The following is an 11,124-nucleotide window of genomic DNA, read 5'->3' as shown; positions in this document are numbered from 1 at the left end:
AGACCTTGCTGATAAAAAAGGATGCAGTAAAGAAGCCGGCCAAAACCCACCAAAACCAAAATGGTGAAGAGAGGGACCTCTGGTTGTCCTCGCTGCTCCACTCCCACCAGCGCCATGACAGTTTACAAATGCCATGGCAACGTCAGGAAGTTATCCTATATGGTCTAAAAAGGGGAGGCATGAATAATCCACCCCTTGTTTAGCATATCATCAAGAAATAACCATAAAAGTGGACAACCAGCAGCCCTCGGGGCTGCTCTATGGAGTAGCCATTCTTTTATTTCTTCACTTGTTTTTTTGTTTTGAGACGGAGTCTTGCTCTGTCACCAGGCTGGAGTGCAGTGGCGCGATCTTGTCTCACTGCAACCTCCGCGCTCCCGCCCCCCTGGTTTAAGCGGCTCCCCTGACTCAGCCTCCCAACTAGCTGGGACTACAGGCGCCCGCCACCACGCCCAGCTAATTTTTTGTATTATAGTAGAGACGGGGTTTCACCATGTTAGGCCAGGATGGTCTTGCTCTCCTGACCTCGTGATCCGCCCGCTTCCACCTCCCAAAGTGCTGGGATTACAGGCGTGAGCCACCGTGCCAGGCCCCTTTACTTGCTTAATAAACTTCCTTTCACTTTACTCTATGGATTCGCCCTGAATTCATTCTTGCGTGAGATCCGAGAGCCCTCTCTTGGTGTCTGGATTGGAGCTCCTTTCCTGTAACAGTGTGGTCCACAATGACAGCAACTGATGTGCAGAGCAAAGGAGGCCACAGTCACGCTGGCCCTGCCTGCCCTGCCCTCTGTCTGCAGCCCTGGACAATATCGTAAGAGAAACTGGTAAATGAGCAGTCTTCAGAGACCAACCTCTATGGTGGCCAGAGCACCATGCTGTGCAAGGCACCAGCAGAAAGAGGGGAAGACTCAGACTTCAGTCTTTCCGGTCCGGAAGGGCTTCTTTCAGAAAAGTGGCTCCAGAGGGCAGCCCCAGCCTAGAAGGCATGGACCTTTGGGTCACTGGAAAGGTCCCAGGAGGGAGTGGCTGCCTGGAGGGGCAGGGAGCTCACCGTGGCTGGGAGCATTTTCTGGCTCTGGAAAGCTCTCTCCAGTGCAAGGTGAGGGGCAGTGTTCTTATCCCCAGGCTGGGAGCGGGTCCCCCAAGGCTGAGTGCTGGGAGAAATTCTGCATACACCTCTCTGTGGACTGGGACACTGGAATGCAATAATGGAAATAATAACGCCTGACAGCAGAAGTTTTCAAACTTGAACTTGAGTATCCAAATTGCCTGGAGGGCAAGACACAGATTGCTGGACCCCAACCTCATATAGTTCCATCCAGTAGGTCTGGGGTTGGGCTTAAGAATTTGCCCTTCTAACAAGGCTCAGATGTTGCTGATACTGCTGGTCTCTGGCCCGTGCTCTGAGAACACAGAGGTTAGCTGAGAGCACGTGTCCCATATGATCTAGACAGGAAGGGTCCAGGCCCCCATGTGAATGTGCTTCCCAAAGTTCCTGTGCTTCCGGGCACTTTGATTTGCATGACCTCTTTTAACTCTGCCTTCCTGAGCATCCCGCTAGGCCATCCATCCTCTCCTTTGCTCCACTGCATTCATCTAGCAGGAGAATTCAGCACTTCTCCTTATTTCCTTTGTATGTGTAGACCACTTGAATGAAGGGTGGGGTCAAAAGAATTGTTGACAGCAAGTCAACAACTTCCAATTGAATATCAACCATGTGCTTTCTTAAGGAGTCCCTCACCATTCTACCCACTCTGGCTCTGGTTTCCTCTCTGGTTCTCTAATTACTGTCTGTGTTCTCCCTGCCCCCGCCTCCCAATTCTTGGACACATTTTATGCAGAGCAGTTTAGTTCTCCCTTCTGGTGCCCTTTCCTGCCAAGCAAGTCATTAGGGTGTCTCTGACTGCCCCAAGAGACAGATCAAGGCAGTTGCTAAACAAAAACGGTTCCCACCCTCTGATTCACTCTGGTGCCAGCTGTTAAGATTGTAAAATTTCACCCCATTATCCTAAATGTCCCCTAATCTGTCCCCCGGCATCATTTAGAAAATTCTGTGGAATCCAACTGCTTCAGAGTCAGAAGCAATTTTAGAAGTCGTCAGTCCAGCTGTTCTTAGCCTGTGGTCCATGGACCTCTTAGCTAGATTCAGGGCATCTATGAATTTGGATGGGAAAAAAATGACATCTTTATTTTTACAAACTGAAATTTGGTGTTTTCCTTGATGGGGCAACAAATAGATAGTATTAGCAGTATCTGTGACTTTGTTACCAATAGAAATCAGCGGTATTCTCAAATCTCATTTCAATTGTTTCAGATGTCTCAAAATATCACTTACATGCATCAATGCTTTGAAATTATAATAGTCATTAGAACTTCTGCTAGATCACATTACTTAGTGCATCAATATAGAAGCATATACCTTACAGTATTCAGCTGTGTTTTATACATATTATCATAAGCACATTCTGCATAATTGGTTATCTTTGCAATCCTATGTACTTTATCTCATGCATAGAAATACTTTTTCTGAGAATATACTAGAATGCCAAAGAGGTCCATGGCACACAAACAATTTAAGAACCTGCATTTAACTCAGCTCTTTGATTTTCTAGAGGGAACTCGTGTCCCAGGCGGAGGAGATACCTTGCCCACAACCACACCACTGGCTTTTAATAGGCTGGTTTAGAACTCGAATATAAAACAGGAGAGGGGGCTGGGCGCAGTGGCTCATGCCTGTAATCCCAGCACTTTGGGAGGCCAAGGTGGGCGGATCACCTGAGGTCAGGAGGTCGAGACCAGCCTGGCCAACATGGTGAAAAGCCATCTCTACTAAAAATACAAAAATTAGCCGGGCGTGATGGCATGCGCCTGTAATCACAGATACTAGGGAAGCTGAGGCAGGAGAATTGCTTGAACCTGGGAGGTGGAGGTTGCAGTGAGCCGAGATCGAGCCACTGCCCTCCAGCCTGGGCAACAAGAGAAAAACTCCATCCCCAAAATAAAATAAAATAATAAAATAAAACAGGAGAGGGAAGAAAACGAGAAGGATGAAGCAAGCAGTAAGGGCTGGGGATAAAGGCCTCACCCCCAAACCAGCCAGCATGGCCTGCTCAGAGCAGGGGGACAGATAGGCTGCCCCTTCATGGAAGTTCTATTTCTAGTGCCTGACAGCCCCTTACGCAGAGCTTGCCATCCAGTGCGGCATCTCTGAGGAGCATTAGTGCAAAACTGTGATTCATCAGAGCAAAGAGGAGTACACTTTGCTGACTTGATAAGCGTGTTTCTTGCCAAATCCTTGGTTCCCAGATACTTAATGGGTAGCATTGTACTCTAGAGAGAACCGTACCGATTTGGAAACTTCTGTTCTGATATGAGGGTCTCAGTCCCTCTCAGTGGCATTCACTGAAATGCTCCCCACCTCCTTCTCCCCTCACATATCAATATCCTTCACTGATCTGGGGTGTGTTCATGATTTAGACTTAACAGAGCACTTCCTCGCATATAATTGCATATAAGTGCATGCCATAAGATTGTGTACAGTTACTAGAGATGGCTGAGTTTTTGCTCTAAACTCCTTAACAGCCCATGCAAAGAAAGAAATAGGTTTATTACAAGATTGTTATGACCACCATTTAAATGGAAAATTCATTTGTTTGCAATTAGCATAGTTTTCCTGATTCTGAGAATGGATTCTTTGAGAATTCTTTCTCATGTTGGGGGCAGGTTTTAACTCCTAGGATCAGCTCTCTGAGCCAAGGGGCTTGCTCAGGTCTTTAAGCTGTTAAGTGGTGGAGCTGAGAACAGCACCCACATTTTCTGGCTGTGAAATATTTTTGTTCTTTATTAGAGGGCTTGTTCTCTGACTGTTGCATGCATGTATTTCTGGCTCACGAATCCTATTATTGCTTTACTTACATATATTTCTTCCACTTACTGTTTTAAAAGTCCATGCAAATTCCAATTACTTTCCAAAATCACTTGACATCAGCTTTGTTTGACAGTCCTTTTATATCGCTCGCCTTAGTTCATTAGGCAAATAAAGTGAAAAATCCAAACCCCTTCTTTTAGCAGAGACATCAGTGTATTTCTACTAGACAGATTCTAATAGCAACCCAGGAGGTAGAATTCTTACTTCTAGCGAGATTCTGCTAATTTTTTTTTTTTTGAGACGGAGTCTGGCTCTGTTGCCCAGGCTGGAGTGCAGTGGGGCACGATCTCGGCTCACTGCAAGCTCCGCCTTCCGGGTTCATGCCATTCTCCTGCCTCAGCCTCCCGAGTAGCTGGGACTACAGGCACCCGCCACCACCCCTGGCTAATTTTTTTGTATTTTTAGTAGAGATGGGATTTCACTGTGCTAGCCAGGATGGTCTCTATCTCCTGACCTCGTGATCTGCCCCCCTCGGCCTCCCAAAGTGCTGGGATTACAGGTGTGAGCCACCGCGCCCTGCTGAGATCCTGCTAATTTTAAAATTCTTATTCACAAACAATAGCTACCATTTATTGAGTGTTTGTTTAAGGCACTGTGTTTAAGCGCTTCACTTCCATGATCCACTTTAATCCTTAGTTAATTTACAATGCTTTCAGGATAGTGTTTTCATTTTGTAGTTGACGACATTGAAATTTAGAGATTTTGAGGACAGATCTGATTCCAGAGTTTCTACTCTTAGCCACTGTGAGCTATTGATTCTATGTAACTGCACACACTGATTTCTGAGCACTTCTTGGGGCCTTTGGGCCAAGTCTTTCTGCTCTTTCTCTCTTATCTGTCTCTTTCCGTCTTTGTCTCCCCACTCCTCTCTCTCTATTTTTTTTTTCAGACAGAACCTCACTTTTTTGTTGTCATTGTTAAGACAGAGTCCTGCTCTGTCGCCCAGGCTGGAATGCAATGATACAATCTCGGCTCACTGCAACTTCTGCCTCCAGGGTTCAAGCGATTCTCCTGCCTCAGCCTCCCGAGTAGCTGGGACTACAGGTGTGCATCAGCATGCCCGGCTAATTTTTGTATTTTTAGTAGAGATGGAGTTTCAACCATGTTGGCCAGGCTGGTCTTGAACTCCTAGCTTCAGGTGATCTGCCTGCCCAAGCCTCCCAAAGTTCAGGGATTACAGGTGTGAAGCACCATGCCCGGCGAGAACCTCACTTTGGAATAGAGACCCCACAGAACCTCAGAGCTGGGAAAATTTCCTTCCCATCAAGCACCAATTTTCCCTTGCCATGGAGCACCACTGCTGGTATGTGCGCACACAGACCCCTAATTTATGCATGTATAGTTATTTACAAGGATGTGCAGGGTGGACATGTGTTGAGGCTCGGACAACAATACCCCAAAGTATGGCACTTTGGCAGGCTGAGTACTTTGAACTGATGGAGTTTGGATGACCTCAGAAGCAGCCTCAGAAGCAAGTTCTCTCTGACCTTCTCCTGCCCTCCTGCACCCCTTGTGCACCTCTTCTCCCATGAGGTGAGTCATAGAAACCAGAGTTCCCCTTCCCCAAGGTGAGTCATAGAAATTCTTCCCCCAAAGCCACCGATAGAACCTAAAACTATGACTCAAACTTTCCTCCACCCTTCTGCACAGGAGCTGGCCGTAAAGAAATTCTCTGACCAACTTTGTCTGAGAGTAGGTCCTAAGACCCTCATTCCAGAGGGGTCGTGCCCCATACCTAGAAAGAAGAAATGCTGTGCAGAGAGGCCAAGAAGAATCTGAACAGACAGGCCCTGCTGGGTCCCCATCCCATCACCTCGGTCCATTACAGTTAATCAGAACTTTCTGTCCAATCGCATTTCTATACCACTGTCCATTCCTCATTGAGTCTAAGCATAAAAATGGACAGTTCTTCCTGAGCCTTTCGGTATTCATTTCTGAAGACTCACATGTCACATTAAACTTTGATGAAATAAAATTGTTATGCTTTCCTTTTGTTAGTCTGCCTTTTGTTACAAGAGTGTCAGCCATGACCCACATGACTGGTGAGGAAAAGTATCACACTTTTTCTCCCCTACACATGTATATCACTGTACACAATTTTTTTTTTTGAGACAGAGTCACTCTCATCATCCAGGCCTGAATGCAGTGGCACGATCACAGCTCACTGCAGTCCTGACTTCCCTGGCTCAATTCATACTCCCACCTCAGCCTCGCAAGTAGCTAGGACTACAGACACATGCCACCACGCCCAGCTAATTTTTGTATTTTCAGTAGAGATGGGGTTTCACCATGTTGCCTAGGCTTGTCTTGAATGCCTGGGCTCAAGTGATCCACCTGCCTTGGCCCCCCAGTACTGGGATTATAGGCCTGAGCCTCTGCACACAGCCAAAATAGAATTTTTAAAGGAAGAGGAGAAATATGAAAAGGATTTCTATTTTTTTTCTTTTTGTATTCCAGTGGATTATCTCGCCCCCCCGCGAGCTGTGTGTACACCCAGGATGGGCCTCAGTTCCCTGACTATGGGTGAGTCCACGCTCTGCCTGGAACAGGAGCTTGGCTGGTCTTTTCCTAAGGACTTCCTTGGATACAGACCGGACAGTCCCTCTCCATCATTCTCCACTCTGTTTCCGGCTAGGCCCACCAATCTTCTTGCGTAGCGCCCAATACTGTTTGTCTGGGTGGAAATCCATCTCCGCCCAGCCTTTCATGGAGATAGAGGAAAACTGATCGGCATTCTTCCTCCATAAACTTGACAGCACTTGACTCCGTTTGGAAGATTGTGGAAGCGAGTCTTTGCTGTGTTTATGAGACCCCCGGGGTTGTTGCGAAGATCAAGTGATAAAGAGGATGAAGAATTTTGCGATACACAAAGGGCTCCAGAAATGTCGAGTGATATTATTAGCAGTGATTTGCATTCATGAAGGGAAGAATGGACGGAAATTAAATGGAACACTTTGGACACGTGTAAGGAAACTGCTGTCGGTCTAGCTCACTCCCCAGGCCGGGGAGCCTTCCTGGGAGGACCCATTTTCCTACACAGCTGCCCACAGCCCCTCTCCATTTCCACCTCCCTCTAGGTAGGAAGGGAACTCAGGTTGGGCAAAGGCGGTGAATTCGCATCTCCAGGAAGCGGCGGGGCCGGAAGGCAGCCAGCAGGGGGCGGCATTGCGCAGGACAGGAGAAGGTAGCGGCCAAGTTCCTCATGAAATCCACGTGCGTGAGGCTGGGAAGGTCCTCTAAGATGTTTAAATAACCCTTAAAGCGGAATCAAGATTTGTTTTTTTCTGCAGTTAGAGAGTTTGCTCCCTCCCAGCCGGCTCGCTGAGCGCTGTGGAACCCTTCGGCTGGGCTCCCCTGAAATCGGGCGCTTGTTCTGGGACAGGCGCAGAAGGGACCCCGGGAATCACGCTTGCGCTCGGGATGTGCAGGGTTCCAAGGGTGACACAGGGGAACTTTTCTATGCAAGGGCTAGCTGCTAGTGCAGGTCTCAGACTTACCTTCCGTTCATTTCAAGACAAATTGAGCTCAAATTACCCTTTTCTTTTTCGTTAAATGAATGGGGAATGAATGAATGAGATTTTCTGTTTTGAAGATGAGGCTCATCTCCCCTCCCCTCGCCTCCCCTGCCCTCCCCTACCCCTGCCCTCCCCTACCCCTGCCCTCCCCTCCCCTCCCTTCCCTTCCCCTGATCCCAAAGTTGATTCCCGGTTGCAGGAACACAGCGTAGAAAATTCGATGCATTCTCTCAGGAAGGAGCCTGGAGTGGGACTCAGGGGACCTGGGTGCTGGTCTCAGCCCCACGCCAGTCGTGGACAGGCTTCTGTTCCTTGGGCTTCTCGTCTGTAGAATGACGGTTGGAGAGAGGATTTTTCTCCTTCTCTTCTACAAGGATGTGCTGTGACAGCCAGGGAAGGGCTGGCCATGCACAGTGCTTTCATGCATGGGCTCTGACTGTCACCAAAGAGCCAGACCCGGCCACAGGCCATCCTGGAAGAGGGGAGAGCCCTTTAATGTGGGCAGAGGGAATGTTGGCCCGCCAGAGTTCCCTCTCAGGTGTGGTGGGAGTGGCAGTTGAATGGGGCAGTTGGAGAGGAGGACTTCAGGCGGGTGGGACAAGAGAAACTGAATCTGAGGTCCTTGGGGAGAAGCAGGCCCTGGAGTCCTGGGCAGCAGATGCCAGGCTCTGAGCCCCATGACTGCTGACCCTCCTCCCCTCCCTCTCATCCTCAGCCCAGGTAAAGCTTCATTTCCAGCCCAGGTAAAGCTTCTCCCTGTAACAATTAGTGGCCACCATTTAGTCCCAAGGGCCTTTGTTTCTCATCCTCAGGACAGGCTGTGTGTGTGTGTGGTGGGGGGTTTGGGGGAGGTGACACCACTGAATGGGGCTGCCCAAGTGGGAGGCAGCAGGGACGAGGCTCCCAGAAGAAAGGCAGCCCCTCTTCCACTTTTGGAGCCCCCGCTATCATAAAAGAAAAGGCAGAAATGCCAAGACGCGATTTCAAAATCTCTGAAATACAAAAGCCTACATTGAATATTTTAAGTCTTTTCCCACACATGCACAAACACAAACACATATACAGGGTAGTGTTCACAATTTAATTATGGGATTTATACCTCCCCCCCAAAAAAAAAGACCTGGAAAGCTTTACTGCAGTTCTCATATGAGGTTTTCATCTTTCTTTCTTTTTTTTTTTTTTTTAACTTTTAAATATATTATTTTCCTGGGAGGGTAGATTTGAATTGCTCTGAATCCAGGCTCTGCATCCTTCTTTGATCGTGTCGGAATGTGTCTGTAACTGGATGGATGACCTCTTTTGGAGATGCCATCACTGGCCACTGTTTTAGGCCTTCTGGGAGATGAGGGTACTTGAGCAAAAGCACCCCCACTTCCCTTCCCACACCCCCAGCTTGGTGCTGTCCCCTGCATGCACTTCCCTCTGCCACCTCTCTGCCTCTCCCTGCCTCCCAACCCCAGTCCCTCATCACTCACAGGGCTTTCTGATCTGGCTGCCACAGGTGCCTGGGACCTGGGGACAGACAGGAGAGGTGCGGTGCAGGCAGGGCCTGGGAGAGCTCCCCAGTGTCTCCTCTGTGCTGGAGGCCAGTCAGGCCCTGGAGGAAGGGGCTGTGGGAGTTGGGGGAGACCATCAGATATTGATAACTTTGGTGGCTTTAAATTAACAATGGATTTATTAAGAAAGAAGTAGGGCTGTAGTCTCATACCTGGGAAAAATTTTATGACTAAAGGTGTGCCTGCTTTTGGTTGATGGAGGAACTCCCATCATGAGCACCAAGGAAGACCCAGAGTCCAGTTCTCAAACATAAAGTTGTTAATTTTCTGGGCTAGACAGGGGCAGAAATGAAATATAACAGAGCAAAGTGGGCAGGTGTGGAAAATGGTTCTTCTTGAGATGACTTCTAGACATCTTTTGTTCTCTCTTGGGGCAGAGACAAGGATAGAGAAAAAGGCCTCAGGAAACACTATAAGGAAGACAGCAGTGCCAATGCAATAATAAATGTTACATGACCCCAAATCTCAGAGTCACAGAGACAGTAAGGAGTGGTGGGGATTGTGGCAAACTAAAGCATGTATACCCTGCCCAGGAGGGGCTGCCGTGCTCAACGTAAGTGGATTGTCACCACATGAACATACAGAGCTCTTGATATTTGACGAAAGCCAGAAGCCAGTCTTATTTTTTTTTTAATGTGGTATCTCCTCATTTTTAAATGTTTTCCACAAATTGGAAAAAAATGTTTAAACTATGCAGGCCATATAAAATGGAACTGCAAGTTGTACATGGTCTTTGTGTCCTGTGCTCTAAACAGAGGCCTTCCTGCTTCTGCCTGTCCAGTCTGTTGAGGTTAGGTTAGGAACCCCCTGCCTGCTAGCAGAGGGGTGCACCAGTGACTTTTTGGCATCTCCTGCCAACCCTCAGATGCTCTGCATGGAAAACACAATGCCAAGAACAGAGCCATGATGGCTGCAGGGACCCTGGCCCGGTTGGCACTGCCTCCTCCCAGCTCTCATCAGCTGTGTACCCCTCAGACCCCATCCTGTGATTGCCAGCAAACAGATTTCTCACCCCAGGCAGCTCCTCACTCCTGGCAGAGGATGGCGTGACAGACGGGGATAGAGACGTTAGCCAAAGCAGGCTTCCTGATTTTAAAAAAAGTCTCATTTTTCCCCCCAGGGCTGCCAAATTTAGCAAAGTGCCATTCCAGCTGCAATGCTTCCAAGCCGCCTCAGATCATCAAAACTTCACATGCCCTGGGGAGCACTCAAGGAAATTACCTTCTAGCACCAATTTCCTATGCGCGCTGATTACTCAAACCTGGCCAGGGAGGCCTGGCCTCCAGTGTTTGGCATCTGGGACTCAGGAGCCCTTAAGACAAGCTGATGACATCTTGCTGCCAGGGTCCCTTACCATTAGAAAAGGGAACCAAAAAATAGAAGTTATAGGTAAGGGTTCTCCACTGACAATGAGTTCCACCTTCTCAAAGGGGCTGGGAAAGATTAGCCTGGATGAGAGAGGACTAGCCACTGGGTGGCTGGGAGTGAGTTGTCGGAAATGACAATGGTCCTCAAATATCACAGGGCACATGAAGAGGACATCAGTGGAGGATGCATGGCTCCTGAGAGCTGAGAAGTGTGCAGAAAAATTGCATTTAGTTCCACAGAAGGAAAAAAAAATCATCCCCTTTAGGGCTATTTCTTTAGAAAATGCTTAACTTTTTATTTTGTAATGATTTCAAACTTACAGAAAAGTAACAGAAATAATGCTAAGAGATCCCAACTACCCTTCACTGAGATTTGCAGTGACATTTTTGCCACATTTACTTTAGCATTAATATCAAAATCAGGAAATTTATCTTTGATAAAATATTATTGCAGAATCTATAGTCCATATTTAGATTTCTCCAATGTTCCAATACTGTTCTTTTACACATTTCATTTACTTATTTTTATTTTTTTAGAGCAGGAGTGAAAATTTATTAAAAAGTTTTAGAGCAGGGATGAAAGAAAGTAAAGTACACTTGGAAGAGGGTCAGGCGGGTGACTTGAGAGTCAAGTGCACAGTTTGACCTTTGACTTGGGCCAATAATGTTCTTTATAGCAAATTAATTTTCTTCTGGTCAAGCATCCAATCCAGGCTTGTGTGTTGCTTTTAGCTGTCACATCTCTTCTGTATCCTT

The 11,124-nt window shown here is 47.6% G+C and overlaps 1 protein-coding gene across 4 annotated transcripts in view, besides 1 other annotated feature; it reads left to right on the top strand.

Moving 5' to 3' along the window:
* Positions 4,830-6,029: an enhancer, noted in NCBI's record as "P300/CBP strongly-dependent group 1 enhancer chr16:48191888-48193087 (GRCh37/hg19 assembly coordinates)". NCBI's record gives its function as "activates an origin of replication core promoter dependent on BRD2, BRD4, P300/CBP, MED14 and CDK7 cofactors, with strong dependence on P300/CBP, by STARR-seq in HCT116 cells {active_cell/tissue: HCT116}" and the evidence as "EXISTENCE:reporter gene assay evidence [ECO:0000049][PMID:35650434]".
* The window catches only part of ABCC12 (ATP binding cassette subfamily C member 12), a 75,112-nt gene continuing 72,000 nt past the window's right edge, over positions 8,013-11,124 (top strand). For 3 of the 4 annotated variants that reach the window (NR_171628.1, NM_001393797.1, NM_033226.3), the window contains exons 1-2: positions 8,013-8,165; positions 10,122-10,390. The gene's annotated coding sequence lies outside the window, so the exon portion shown is untranslated. The remainder of the gene's footprint in view (positions 8,166-10,121; positions 10,391-11,124) is intronic. The other variant, NM_001392028.1, reaches the window with a different exon arrangement.

Source organism: Homo sapiens, chromosome 16 (assembly GCF_000001405.40).
Source record: "Homo sapiens chromosome 16, GRCh38.p14 Primary Assembly".
NCBI classification, from domain to species: Eukaryota; Metazoa; Chordata; class Mammalia; order Primates; family Hominidae; genus Homo; species Homo sapiens.
This window is presented reverse-complemented; position numbering and strand designations above follow the sequence as displayed.